General features: G+C 36.2%; 1 protein-coding gene across 22 annotated transcripts in view; it reads right to left on the reverse strand.

Annotated features, from left to right (window-relative positions):
- BRIP1 (BRCA1 interacting DNA helicase 1) overlaps nucleotides 1–15,953 on the reverse strand; it is a 184,390-nt gene that overhangs the window by 86,690 nt on the left and 81,747 nt on the right. For 8 of the 22 annotated variants that reach the window (XM_047436891.1, NM_032043.3, XM_047436892.1 and 5 more), the window contains exons 12-14: nucleotides 15,012–15,177; nucleotides 14,433–14,573; nucleotides 10,573–10,734 (exon numbers count right to left, since the gene is read on the reverse strand). In XM_047436891.1, coding sequence (XP_047292847.1) covers nucleotides 10,573–10,734; nucleotides 14,433–14,573; nucleotides 15,012–15,177 — 469 coding nt within the window. Of the gene's footprint in view, nucleotides 1–10,572; nucleotides 10,735–12,291; nucleotides 12,352–12,417; nucleotides 12,951–14,432; nucleotides 14,574–15,011; nucleotides 15,178–15,953 lie in introns of those variants that run through there. The other 14 variants (XM_011525333.4, XM_011525332.4, XM_011525334.3 and 11 more) reach the window with 4 other exon arrangements.

The raw sequence follows: 15,953 nt of genomic DNA on the forward strand, positions 1-15,953 counted from the left end.
GCACACACACACACACACACACACACACACACAGAGCAAAAAACAACTTGGTTATTAAATTGTTACTTTCCAACTGCCCTACTATTTTCATTCAATTGTTAAAGCAGCTTTTTAACATCCTCTTTCAGAGTAGCTCTTATATCTATCTTCCTAACAGTTTAGCTCATAATCAAAAACAAATGTGAAAAGCAAACATAAATATAGGTATACCAATATGTAGGTATTTTTATATAAGTGCATATTGTTCTAAATAAAAATAATAGGTCAAATTAATATTTATCAGATCAACTATATTTCAAACAGTAGAATACTATTACGAGGATAGCATTGAACTAGAAAATCAGGAGTTCTAAGGCAAATGCTTTCACTAATTAAATGTATGACCTTAGCCATATGAATTGTCTACTCAGAATGTAGTATGTGCCCAGTAAATGTTTGTCAAATGAATAAACAAAGGAACAAACAAAGGAATACTTTTTGTTTAATAACCAAGAGCAGAAGTTCTCAAGAACTACATCTAACCTGAGAGATATACAACCTCTCTACCACATCCCAAAGCCTCAATGGCATAATGATTCTTTCTATTTAACACTGTAGAAAAAAATATTTCTTCAAAAGGCTCAGTTGATCACTTAAAGCAAATTTATATCTATAGAAATTTCAGCCTTCTACACGAGGGGAAAAAAAACACTTTTTAATGTAGCAATTTAGTTTCTCCTTTAGGTTAAGTGCGGTACAGCTTTAAAAATGAGAACCAAAACAAACTAGTAGCACTGCAAATTTCTTAACATACAAATTTAGTGCTGAACAATACTTTAAAAAACTACAGCTAGAGAGTGAACAGGAATGTTTGCATTTTATTCCTCATCTGACATTCAGTGATGAATGTAAAATATGCCCTCAGGGAAAATGGTTTATACATATTACTCATAAAGATGTATTTTTTTTTAAGTCGAAGTCTGTATTGTATGAATAAAAAGATCCAACTTGTTACTTTGGCACCAGAGAGTCTCTTTTCAAAATGATTTAATAGAAAAGTTTCTATTCTCTTTATATGGACAGAAACTTCTCTGTCCATATAAAGAGTTTAGAAACTCTTCTACCCATAAAAATGAATTTCAGAGAGTTCTAAAGCAATGCTGCTACTACTTAAATAACAACAGAGTCAAAATCAAATTTATCTTAGTGGAAGAATGGCATTCCTCCTAGTTACCATAAACTATTGGTCTGAAAGAATGTGGGGAAAAAAACTAGATGAACAACGTTCTCACTCTTACCCTTAAACAAATGCTGCAGTTTACATCAAAAGAATATTAGTTTTTACTCAGTGAAAGAGTAAAGTTTTGAGTAAATCACCCATTCCAATTATCTAGTACAGGAAGAAAACTGGCCATTAAATATAAGGGGGAAGAAATGACCACTAAAATGTATGGTTTGAAAAACTTTAGACATATATTTTTCTTTTTTAGAGATAGGGTCTTGCTATTGGCCAAGCTGGAGTGCAGTGGTGTGATCACAGCTCACTGCAGCCTCAAACTTCTGGGCTCAAGCGATCCTCCCATCTCAGCCTCCTAAGTAGCTGGGACTCACAACACCACACCTGGCTGATATTTTTTGTTTTGTTTTTTTAAACACTGGGTCTCTCTATGTTACCCAGGCTGGTCTTGAACATCTGGCCTCAAGTGATCCTCCTATCTCAGCCTCCCAAATTGCTGGGATTATAGGCTTCTGCACTGGGCCTAGACTTCTACCATATGTTTCTTTCTTTCTTTTTGATTTTTAGTAGAGATGAGGTTTCACCATGTTGCCCAACCTGATGTCAAACTCCTGAGCTCAGGCAATCCACCCACCTTGGCCTCCCAAAGTGCTGGGATTACAGGTGTGAGTCACCGCACCTGGCCCTTATCCTATGTTTCTTTTATGAAACTCTGCAACCAGTCTTTACATTACATTTTCACACATGCCAAGCTAAACTCTGTGATTATGAAAATATTTTCTGTGCCTTTGCTAATACATGTCTCCTTGGTCCAGAATATTATATTCCTCACTCCCACATCTACCAGTAGAAATCTATCCACCTTTCTTTAATACCCACTGAAATATCAACCACCTCCTCTAGGAAACTCCTCTGCTTCATTCAATCACATGTGATCTCTTCCTACTCTTAATTCCATTATCATTCTTCTTAATCTCTCTAATGATTACAAATTTTGTCAAATAATGCAAGGATGTGTACACTTATTTTATACCACAACCCAAACTGAAATCTTCTTGAAGAGACAGTAACTTGTTTATTTTTGAATCTTTAACAGGACTTAGTGCAGTCCTCCGCACAAAGTATGTACTCAATAATGATTTCTTCAATGGATTAAGTAAATAAAAATAAATGTGAAGTAAAGTTATGAGATTTCTCAGGAAGATCTTAAATATAATATAAGCAAGGCTCTCAATATAAATATTTTGGTATTTTAAAGAAATTCAACTAAAGATATTTAAAGTTCTTTCTCAATACAAAATAAGTATTAGTATATGGAATTAGGCTGTATTGCTCTACGGGAAATCACAGGAATTTTAGTTTGCAGTTCTAAAATACCTCTAACTTCAAAGGCAGTAAGAAAGACTTGGAACAATAAGAGTTAGTCTCCATCCATTCGTGTGTTTATTCATCAAGCATTTATGGAAAGATTATTATGTGCAGTTGTGATGCCTTTGCTACCTAAATTTCATAAATATCATTTCACTTCTATTAATATTTTCATATGCCATAGTCACAAATCTTTATTCTAATGGTTCTTCCTAACCTTTTTCTTACCCTGATAAATTAACCCCTGTGATAAAAAGTTTATGATAGCCCCTAAGATTCCTACTCCCTATATACAACCTGCATAAACTTCTCCCCGTTGTGAGATAAAAATAAGACTTTACTTCCATGATTAGATTATATTATGTAGTAAAGATGAGGGGATTTTATGAACGTAATTAAGGTCTACCTCAATTGATTCTGAGTTAATCAAAAGGGAGATTATCTTGGGTGGACCTGACTTAATCAGGTAAAAGTCCTTAAAAGATACAATGCACCCCTACAGAAGAGACACCTTTGTTGGCTTTGAAGAAGGAAAAAAAAAAGTAGTAGTAGTAATAAGCTGCCACGTTGTTGAGAGGGCGATATGACTAGGACCTGAATGCAACCTTTAAGACCTAAGAGTCATCCTTAGCCAACAGCCCGCAAAAGACTGGGTATCTCACTCAGTCCTACGACTACAAGGGATAAATTCTGCAAACAAACTGAGGGACCCTGGAAGCTAATCTTTCCCCAGTCAAGCCTTTAGTGAGACCACAACCCCAGTTGACTCTGCTGGGAGCCTTGTAATACACTGAGAAGAAAAACCCAGATAAGCCATGCCCAGACTCCTGACCCACAGAAAGAGTAAGATGATAAATGTGTACTGTTTTACGGTGCTAATTTTGTGGTAATTTGTTATGCAGCAACATAGAACTAATACAACCCATCTAATTATATTTCAATCCTGGTTCCTCATGTCCCCCTGAAATGAATTCTAATGTAGGCTTTCTGTCTTCTGCATGGTCAGTATCAAACCCCTCTGAAATGAAAACTAGATGGCATAATATTAATACATTTAATAACTGTAGTCACTGTACTATGTGAGAATTGACAACGGTACTGACAAAAGATTATAATAATGTGCTAGTTTGCTCTTATGACTAGATTCTGAAACTCAGTAGCAAATTTATTTTTGCCAATTTTATTGGACTTCTGATTTCAGCTCCAATATGTAAAGAACTGGAAGTCATCACACCTGTTTTACAACAGAAAAAAGTTAAACAAACTAAAAATCAATTACTTTTCTGGGATCCATCTGAGAACTGAGGTCACAAGGCAAACTGCCACCCTGAAATCTGGAGAGACAGGTAAATACAGAGAATCAAGATATGCTTACTGGGACAGCGGCCACTAAAACATAAATTGACAGAAATAGTTAAAAGATAATATTGATGAATTGCTGGAGATAAAATGTGAACTAGTTTATAAGTGAGAAACTCCTAGGGGCTGCAGTCTTGCCAGGGGGCCCACAATTTTTAAGACATTACCTCTAAAAATCCCACCAGGTTCCCACAGTAAAGAGCCAAGAAAAACCCTACTGTTTCGGGCAGGAGGAGGGAAAAAAACAACCATTTTGAAATACGTTCAACGCATTCTCTAAAACAATGGCCAGTCTGCCAGTAAGGAAGATTTTACCAGATCCTTATCCAACATGAGGGAAGGGATCATTTCCTAAACTGCAGCTCCCTGCCATCTAATCTTATGATATGAATGAAGAGCTCAGAAACACTTGTGAAGGTCACAGGCAAGGGACACAGTCATGCTAAAAGACTGAGACATAATCATAGGATTAGAAGATGCTTCCTGTTCCCCATACCTTACCACCACATCAACAGGGCTCCAGTATAACAGCAGAGGATTACAACAGAGAGAGACAGCTGCAAGGCTCAGATTCTATTTAAGAATAAGTTTTTAGGGACATTGGAGAGTAACTCAAGTCCACATTAAGAATTAATTAAAGAGCACTGGTCAAGATAACTACAAGGTAGTTATAAAAGACAGTATAAAATGTGTTTTAACATAGATACAAAAGACAATATAAAATGTATTCTGTTTTTAATTTTTTTTATCTGATTTGAAAGTCAGTTGCAAAAGGTAATAATTGTAAATCTGTGTTGAGAGACATACAATGTGTAAAGATGTAATTTTTATAATAATGACACAAAGAAGGTAGGATTAAAAAAACAGCTACATAGGATTAAAGCTTCTGCATTCTATTGAAAATTAAATTAGTATTAATCCAAACTACATAAGATGTTAAATATAATTCCTAGGACAACCACTAAGAAAATAACTAAAAAATACACAGTAAAAGAAAAGCCAAGGGAATTAAAGTGACACATTAGAAAAATTTAAATGGCACACTAGAAAATATCTATCTATTAGATTCAAAAGGCAATGATAGAGAAATAGAGGGGGAAAAGGCACCAGATATACAGAAAACAAACAGCAAAGTGGCATTTGTAAACACTACCTTAGCACTAATTACATTAAACGTAAATGGAGTAAACACTCAAGTTAAAAGGCAGAGATAAGCAGAATGAATTTTTCAAATGCTCCAACTATATGCTGTCTATAAGAGACACACTTTAAATTTAGACACAAATAGGTTGAAAGTAAAAGGAATGTTATTCAGCCATAAAAAGGAATAAAGTATTAATTCATCCTATAATGCTGAACATGGAAACATTACACTATGTGAAAAAGCCAGACACAAAAAGTCACATATTGTATGATTCAATTTAGATGAAATGTTCAGAAAAGGCAAATCTATAGAAATAGCAGATTAGTGGATACTAGGGAATAGCAGGTAAGAGTAGGCAGTGACTGTTAATGAGTTAGGAGTTTCTTTTTGGGGTCAGAAAAATATTCTGGAATTAGACAGTGGTGATGATTACACAACTTTGTGAATATACTAAAAATGACTCAATGCAAAAATGCGCAAAGAATTTGAATAGGCATTTCTCTAAAGAAGATGTCTGAATTACTAATAAGCACATGAAAATATACTTAACATCACTAGTCATCAGGGAACTGCAAATCAAAACCACAAGGAGATACTACACTTTATACCCATTTGAAAGGCTATTATCAAAAAAAACATAAAATAACAAGTATTGGCAAAAATGTGGAAAAATTGGAATCCTTGTGCACTGCTGATGGGAATCTAAATTATGCATTGACTATAAAAAAAACAGTTTGGTGGTTCTTCAAAAAGTTAAATTTAGGCTGGGCGTGGTGGTTCACGCCTGTGATCCCAGCACTTTGGGAGGCCGAGGCAGGCAGATCACCTGAGGTCAGGAGTTCAAGACCAGCCTGGCCAACATGGTGAAACCCTGTCTCTACTAAAAATACACAAAAATTAGCCAGACATGTTGGCGGACACCTGTAATCCCAGCTACTCGGGAGGCTAAGGCAGGAGAATCACTGGAACCTGGAAAGCGGAGGTTGCAATGAGCTGAGATGATGCCACTGCACTCCAGCCTGGGTGACAGAGTGAGACTCCATCTCAAAAAAAGAAGTTACATTTAGAATTATCACAAGATCCAGAAATTACATTTCTAGGTATATATCCGAATGAATTGAAAGCAAGGTCACAAATAGATATTTGTACACCAGCGTTCATAGCAGCATTATTCACAACAGGCAAAAGGTAGAAACAATCCAAATACCCATCGACAGATGAATGGATAAGCAAATGTGAGATTATATATATATATATATATATATATATATATATATATATATATATATATATAAAATGAAATATTATTCTGCCATAAAAAGGATTCCGATGTATGCTACAAGATGGACGAACCCTGAAAACATTATGGCTAATGAAATAAATCAGAAACAAAGGACAAATACTGTATGATTCCACTTATATGAAGTAGCTACAATAGCCAAATTCACAGAGACAGAAAGAATACTAGAGGGTAACAGGAAATGGGGAAAAGGAATCTGGGGAGTTATTTTGTGGGAACAGAGTTCTTATTTGGTATGATGAAAGGTTCTGAAAATAGATAGTGGTCTTGGTTGTCTAACATTGTGAATGTACTTAATTGTACACACACAAAAAATGCTAAGGCCGAACGCAGTGGCTCACGCCTGTAATCCCAGCACTTTGGGAGGCCAAGGCGGGCAGATCATCTGAGGTCGGGAGTTCAAGACCAGCCTGACCAACCTGGAGAAACCCCATCTCTACTAAAAATACAAAATTAGCCGGGTGTGGTGGCACATGACTGCAATCCCAGCTACTCAGGAGGCTGAGGCAGGAGAATCACTTGAACCCGGGAGGCAGAGGTTGCAGTGAGCCAAGATCACACCATTGCACTCCAGACTGGGCAACAAGGGTAAAATTCCATCTCAGAAAAAAAAAAAAAAAAAAAAAAACCTAAATTTTGTTATGCATGTTTCACCACAATTAGAAATGACAATAAATATCAGAAAAATAAATCAAAGACCTGCGAAGCCTCTGGGGATGTGGGACTGGGAAGAAAGGAGGAGTAGTATAGTGAAGGGAGCTGTTGTTTTTTCATTATAACCATTCTAACATTATTTAATTATGTATAAGAATTATTTTGATAAATTAAGATATTTAAAGCTAAAAAAGAAATTAAAGAATTTAATGACAAACAACAAGGTTTTAATGATATGTATTATAAAGGATTACTATCCACACTATATATTTAAAAGCCCATACAAATCAATTAAAAAGACAAATACAACCAAGACAAGCAGACAATAAACAAAAATTTTAAAAGAATTAAACAAAAACCTGCAGAACAACTAATTGACAAACCTGACAAAAACAAAACCTGACAAAACCTGACAAACTTGATAAAAACAAGCAATGGGGAAAGAATTCCCTATTTAATAAGTGGTGCTGGGAAAACTGGCTAGCCATATGTAGAAAGCTGAAACTGGATCCCTTCCTTACACCTTATACAAAAATTAATTCAAGATGGATTAAAGACTTAAATCTTAGACCTAAAACCATAAAAACCCTAGAAGAAAACCTAGGCAATACCATTCAGAACATAGGCATGGGCAAGGACTTCATGACTAAAACGCCAAAATCAATGACAACAAAAGCCAAAATTGAAAAATGGGATCTAATTAAACTAAAGAGCTTCAGTACAGCAAAAGAAACTACCATCAGAGTGAACAGCCTACAGAACATTCTGTAGGCTCCCATCCCTACAGAATGGGAGAAAATTTTTGCGATCTACCCATCTGACAAAGGGCTAATATCTAGAATCTACAAAGAACTTAAACAAATTTACAAGAAAAAAACAAACAACCCCATCAAAAAGTGGGCAAAGGATATGAACAGACACTTCTCAAAAGAAGACATTTATGCAGCCAACAGACACATGAAAAAATGCTCATCATCACTGGTCATCAGAGAAATGCAAATCAAAACCACAATGAGATACCATCTCACACCAGTTAGAATGGTGATCATTAAACAGTCAGGAAACAACAGAAGCTGGAGAGGATGTAGAGAAACAGGAACGCTTTTACACTGTTGGTGGGAGTATAAATTAGTTCAACCATTGTGGAAGACAGTGTGGCGATTCCTCAAGGATCTAAAACTAGAAATACCATTTGACCCAGTCATCACATTACTGGGTATATACCCAAAGGATTATAAATCATGCTACTATAAAGACACATGCATACGTATATTTATTGCAGCCTATTCACAATAGCAAAGACTTGGAACCAACCCAAATGTCCATCAATGATAGACTGGATTAAGAAAATGTGGCACATATACACCATAGAATACTATGCAGCCATAAAAAAGGATGAGTTCATGTCCTTTGCAGGGACATGGATGAAGCTGGAAACCATCATTCTCAGCAAACTATCACAAAGACAGAAAACCAAACACCGCATGTTCTCACTCATAGGTGGGAATTGAACAATGAGAACATGTGGACGCAGGGTAGGGAACATCACACACTGGGGCCTGTTCTGGGGTGGGGGCCTAGGGGAGGGATAGCATTAGGAGAAATACCTAATGTAAATGACGAGTTGATGGGTGCAGCAAACCAGCATGGCACATGTATACGTATGTAACAAACCTGCACGTTGTGCACATGTACCCTAGAACTTAAAGTATAATAATAAAAAAAGAAACTATGAGATAATAAATGTTTACTGTTTTAAGCCACAAAAAAATTAAACAAAAACCTGCAGAACAATTAATTTCGCAATCAAAGAAATAAACTCAATTGGAACAAAGTATATTCGAAGGATTTCCTGTGTCTTTATTTTTAATTGAAAAGCTAGAAGCAGAAAAATAATCTATTCATTTTGCTAATATATATACAGTCACTAAAAAGTTATTTCAATGTTATAGTCTCTAGTCACCCAATTATAAATGTCTGTAACTAAAATTCATACTGTCTGCTATATGCATTCCAAGCCTAGCAGAAAAATGTCACCCAGACATCTCCTATCTCCCTTTTTGTGACTATGACTGGAAAATATAAAAAGGTTTTAGCAATGAAATAAGATTTTGCTTTAATCGCTTACATAACTGTGGAGTGAGTACAGTTTCCATAATCCCATAAATAACTTTTCTTCCAATTTCCCGGAAGATATTTGTCTCCATATTTAAGAATTAAAAGTCCTAAAAATTTTATTAGGTAAGACCAACTCCCTACAAGTTTTATTGTATGACTTAGTATCAAGCTTAATTACTAGTTTTCCTAAATATAACTGTTTGGTGTAGATGTTCACACTGGAATAAATCTTGTTTTCCATTAAGAATTTTAAAAAATGTTTATGTCCGTTTTATTTTTAGATATTCTTGTAAAAAATTATCTGATTAAATATGTTTTTGAAAACAAATCCTTTAATTTATCTACAAGAGACTAATTGCTTTAGTGTATCCCTAGCTATCAAAGTACATATATATAAAAAGACAGTAGAAGAGTCAAAAGTATCAATATTGTCATTCAAATATATTACTTCCAAATGCTTCTGTCCTTAGAGGTATAACTTCCTGTGGAAAAAAGAGAAGGGAACGCCACTTCTCTACATTGGATTTAGGTTAGATTTTGATGCAATGTGATGTTACTTTCAGGAATTATAAGTGGTTTCAATGCTTTGAATGTTAGGAGGACCAAAATATACTAAATAATTTCAAATTAACTAAAAAAAATTATTAAAAATCAGTGACTCTAAAAACAACAACAAAATTCTTCTGGCCAGATACATGAAGTAAAATGAGGGCAACGAAGAAAGTTTGGCTTAGATTAACTTTAATGAAACCTTCAGAAATGTAATTTATGAAAATAAAAAAGAATGCTCTGTTTCTTTCTACTCTGAAAATATCGACTTGTCCCTAAGAATAAAAATGTACACATAAACACTTCTCCTATATAATTAACATTGCTTGAAGACTTTTATTCTTTCAGATTATTTTATTTTATTTTAGAGAGAGTCTTATTCTGTTGCCCACGCTGGAGTGCAGGGGTGCAATCATAGCTCACTGTAACCTCAACCTCCTGGGCTCAAGCAATCCTCCCACCTCAGCCTCGCAGGTAGCTGGGACTATAGGTGTGTGCCACCACACCCAGCTAATTTTTGTATTTTGTAGAGGCAGAGTTTCACCATGTTCTCCAGGCTGGTCTCGAACTCCTGGGCTCAAGTGATCCTCCCAGCTCAGCCTCCCAACCTGCTGGGATTACAAGCATGAGCCACCACGTCCAGCCTTGCTCTTTCAGACTTTTAAGTAAAACAGAGGTAGGACAATCAGGCAGTATCTTAATCAAAAAATAAGTAAAATAATATGTGATGTTTAGAAAACTATAGTTATTACCTTGTTGCCTCTACCCTAGGAAGCTTACTGTGGTAATTTTAAAATTAGCATGCCAATGTTTAAAATGTAAATGATTATTTAAAGGCAAAAGAAACAATAAATATTCCCTTACCTTGTAAGATGGCAAGAAACACAAAATTCCTTGGCTCACAGTCTGGCACACAGATAACAAAAGTGCTCCCACTTCATCTTGGAACTCAAATGTTTCAGTATTCTGGAAGGTAGCACAGAGATTCCGACCCTTGGGGCCTGACCCAATGGTACCAACCCAAACCTAGAATATGAATATGTCATTATTAGAGTTATGCCTGAAAAAGGCATGGAAATTAGTATTTATTTGGAAGTATGTACATAAAAGATCAAGCAACAAGTTTAACAATTTATTTTTAAATTGTCAGGGGGTTTTCTATTACCTTCAATTAACTGTATACAGATTTAATTTATAAATGTTTTGCTTTAGGCAGATCACTAAATTCTCTTAGAGTGAAAATTCTTTGAAAGCAAAACAGGTTGTACCTGTCTCTGTTTACTTAATAGCTTTGCAAAATTTAAGCATGTAACAAATTTTTGTTAGGTGAATAAATGAACAAGTGAAATGATGAATATATACCAATAGCAGAATCAGATAATTCCAAAATACTGGGGATGAAGGCCAGTATAATTTGCCATAGGCAAGTCTCAAAAATGACAGGAACTACTCTTTCAAAAATTCATTGGTGCTCAAAGATCCTTAGTCATAGAAAAAAATCACACCCACCACATCTTACAGTTATTTGCAATTCTATCTCCCTTATATGTAGAGAGAGGGAGAGAGACGAAAATTTTGCAAAATGTTAACAAGTGATGAATCTAGGTGAAGGATATAAAGATATTCACAATATTAATATTATCTTTCCAACTTTTCTGAAATTTCTAATTTTTTGAAATACAGTTGAAAGAATCAATGAATGAATGATCAAAATGTAGCATTGAGTAGAAAAAAACAAACTTTTTCCTTTGCTCTCACACCACAGCAATCAACACAGAAAACTTCTGTGACCAAATGTGTGGGAGGTTTTTTCCACATACCAAGCAATCAATTCTGCAACAGACATCAACTGGGTGTCCTCTAATTCAATTCAATTCTGATACTATCTACTGGGAGATGATAACTTCAGATCCCAGAGGTTGAGGGCTCAGTCCCCAAGACTGCCCCTGATTTCTGTGGCCAGTCACAGTTGTTTTTACTTGCACTTCTGACTGATCAGCTAGAAATCGGGCATCCCACAACCCTCTGCTTGGGTTCAATTAATTTGGTAGAGCTGCTCACAGAACCCAGGGACACATTTACCTACACTTACTGATTTATTAGAAAAAATATTACAAAGGATACAGATAAAGAGATGTATGTGGGAAGGGGCTCAGAGCTTCAATTCCCAGGCACATCACCCTCCAAGTGTTCAGGAACCTCCAAGTGTTCAGCTATCTGGAAGCTCTCTGAACCCTGTCCTTCTAGGTTTTTATGGAGGCTTCATTATGTAGGCATGATTGATTAAACCACTGGCCATTAAGATAAACTTAACCTTTAGCATCATCTCCCCCAAGCCCTCCCCAGAGGTTGAGGAATGGGGGTGAAAATCCCAACTCTCCTATCATGTCTTGGTCTTCCCGGAGGCCAGCCCTGATCCTGATGCTACCTAGGAGCCCCCTACCATTAGTCATCTCATTAGCATACAAAATGTCACTTTGGAGATTCTAAGGATTTTAGGAGTTGTATGCCAGGAAATGGAGTGGAAGACCAAATATATATATTATAAATCACAGGCATATACACACAAGAAACATTATTCACCTTTAAAGAGGAAACTCTGGCACATGCTACAACATAGATGATGAACTTTGAAGACATTATCTGCAACATGGACAAACCTTGAGGACATTACTAAGTAAAATAAGCCAGTCACAAAAACGACAAATATTTTATGATTCCACTTATATGAAGTATTTATAGTAATCAGATTCATAGAAACAGAAAGCAGAATGGTAGTTACCAGGAGCTGAGGAGAGGGGGAGAATAGAGAGCTGTTGTTTAATGGGAACAGAGTTTCAGTTTTTCAAGAGGAGAAAGTCTTGAGATTGGTTGCACAACAACATATACATACTTAATAAGACTGAGCTGTATACTCAAAAATGGTTAAGATGGTAAATTTTATATATATTCTACCACAATTAAAAGTTTTTTAAATTTTAAGTTGAAGGAAAATATTACAGTGTAACAGAATCCAGCTGCACAACTACATTATTATAATTCAGCGACATTATAGGTTAAATGGACTTTTGTGCAGTAGGCTGAGAACATAGAGCCTGTAATAACATTCTTATGAGAAAACGTATGCTGAATTTACCAACTTCCCATATTTATCTGTGTCTCTAAAGAAAGCAACTTGAAAACGTGGAACATGTATTCTTCCTTCACTGCTGTTCATAGTCACATTTCTCAGCAGGAACACTCTGGCATTTGGAAAGCACAATTCTTAGTTACATAGGAGTAGCATTCTAGGTTCCCAACTACCAAATGCCGTAGTTGCTCCCAAGTAATTGTGAGGACCAAAAATGTTCCCACCTATAAACCTGTGTATATAGCTTAATAAAGAGCTAGCATTGTGTTAGGCACACAGGTGATGTTAACTTAACCACTTTAGCATTAACCACAGCTTAACATCACCTGTGTGCCTAACCACTTTAAAATATTTCATAAAAAGAAACCAGAAGGCATAATGAAAAATAACAATCTATACATTTCCACAAAAATTAAAATAACATTTAGTAGCCATCGTTATAAAACATTAAAATCTTAAATCATAGGACTCATAAGAGTACTTTTAACTCATTTCAGATATTCAAACATGCTGAACACTTGCTAAATACCAGCTATTAATCTAGGCACAGAGGAAGAACGTGGATGTAAAAGGAAGAATCAGGATACACTGTAGTCTAATGGAAAAGAGAAGCATAAATAATTATACAAGCTGGGCATGGTAGTACATGCCTGTAGTCCCAGCTACTCAGGAGGCTGAGGCAGGTGGACTGCCTGAGCCTGGGAGTTTGAAGCCAGCCTGGGCAACATAGCAAGCGACCTTGTCTCTAAAAAGATAAAGTCTGGCCAAAATGGCAAAACCCCGTCTCTACTAAAAATACAAAAATGTGCCAGGCATGGTGGCATACACCCATAATCCCAGCTACTCAGAAGGTTGAGGCAGGAGAACCGCTGGAACCCAGGAGGCGAAGGCTGCAGTGAGCCAAGATCGCACCACTGCACTCCAGTCTGGGTGACAGAGCAAAACCTTGTCTCAAAAAATAAAAGTAAAAATAAAAATACAGAGATAAAATAAATAAAATATAAATAGGCTGGGCACAGTGGCTCACGCCTGTAATCCCAACACTTTGGGAGGCTGAGGCAAGTGCATCATTTGAGGGCAGGAGTTCAAGACCAGAATGGACAACATGCTGAAACCCCATCTCTACCAAAAAAATAAAAAATTAGCCAGGCGTGCGGCGCACACCTGTAATCTCAGCAACTTGAGAGGCTGAAGCAGGAGAATTGCTTAAACACGAGTGAGCCAAGATCACACCACTGCACTCCAGCCTGGGCAACAGAGCCAGACTCTGTCTCAAAAATCAATCAATCAATAAATAAAACATAATTATACAATGAGAATTAAAGAAATCAAAATTTTGTTTTCATTACAAAACTAAAACTTACTTAGAAGAAGAAGCTGAAATACAGCCTTTTGCATCCCAAGTGACTGGATTATTTCCTTCTGTTGACACATCATTAAGTAGCTGACAGATTTTCTTTTATTGTAAAACTGGAATGTTGAATTTCCTACCAAGATTTACTTGCTGGCACTTCAGGTATCTTCTAACTTGTTTACATAGTTATATTGAAGTAGAAACACTGAAGGCCTTCCAAAAAAAAAAACAACAACTAACCTGTGAATTTTTAATGATATGATTAGCCTCCAGCTGGATAGTAAATGTAACACCAAGTTCTGACGAAAAGGATTTCATTGGTGATAATGTACCAGATGTCAAAACAATGGTCTGAACTTTGCCATTAATATCTGAAAAGGCCTAAAAGAAAACAACATTAGATAAATAAAATTATCTTTAGAAGAGGCTGGGCAAAGTGGCTCACACCTGTAATCCCAGCACTTTGGGAGGCTGAAGCAGGAAGATCGCTTGAGTCTAGGAGTCTGAGACCAGCCTGGGCAATATGGTGAAACCCCGTCTCTACAAAAAATACAAAAATTAGCCGGGCATGGTGACACATGCCTATAGTCCCAGCTACTCGGGAAGCTAAGGTGGGAGGATCGCTTGAGCCTGGAAGGTCAAGGCTACAGTGAGCTGAGATTGCACCACTGCACTCCAGCCTGGGTGAAGAGCAAGACCCTGCCTCAAAACAACAACAACAACAACAACAAACAACTATCTTTAAAAGAGTCAACCACATTTATTAAAATGCTGGTACTGAGCAAGAAGACAAAATTTCCATTTACATGATGAGCTTACCACAGCTGGATTTAAGCACCAAAAGTTTAGCACATGAACTGCAGTTTTCTGTCGTGAACGTTTCTTATTTTTTGGTAGAACCAACAACCCATTTTTGTCTGAAATATCAATCTGATTTGTCCAGGAGTAAGTCTGTTGAATCGCAATTTTATAATCATCTGCAAATCTAGATGCAAAGAAAGTGCTAATTAAGTGGCAAAACTTTTAAAACCTATGACCCAGCTACATACAATATAAAAACTGATTACATTAAAACTCATTTGAAAGAGCTGGTACCTTCCCATTCAAAAATAACATTCTCCTTACCATTAATTAAATTCAGTAATTCTGATATTAATAAAGCCATTAATCATAGAATCAACTGATTCTCAGAGGGAATATTAGAAATCATCTAACCATCTATCTTTTATCAGCTACTTCCTAACCTCATTTTCAAACATTACATATGTCATGGCAGAAGCAGAATTAAAATCCAGGCCTCCTAACTCCCAGTCCAGAGCTCTCTGCATGCTCTACTACATGATGAGTTACAAAATAGAAAACAGTATTATGGTTAAAGAGACTAAAAGGTGGGTTATACTTTTTTATTAAATGAGAAAATAGAAGGATAATTTTTACTGAAAGTTTTTAAAGTATTAGCAACAAGTTATAAAATTCTTACATTCCTTTGAAACCTGAGTCTCAGCCTTCATCTACTTTTAATGAAGGTGCTGAACCAGATGATATCTGTGATCCCATCCAGTGTATAACTGCTTTCAATAAGAATCTAGAAAATGGTTAAGCTTAAAAATAATAAAATGTGGCCAGGCGCGGTGGTTCACACCTGTAATCCCAGCACTTTGGGAGGCCGAGGCAGGTGGATCACGAGGTCAGGAGTTCGAGACCAGCCTGGCCAACATGGTGAAACCCCGTCTCTACTAAAAATACAAAAATTAGCCAGGT

The sequence above is a fragment of the Homo sapiens genome, chromosome 17, assembly GCF_000001405.40.
Source record: "Homo sapiens chromosome 17, GRCh38.p14 Primary Assembly".
In the NCBI taxonomy this organism is placed as follows: Eukaryota; Metazoa; Chordata; class Mammalia; order Primates; family Hominidae; genus Homo; species Homo sapiens.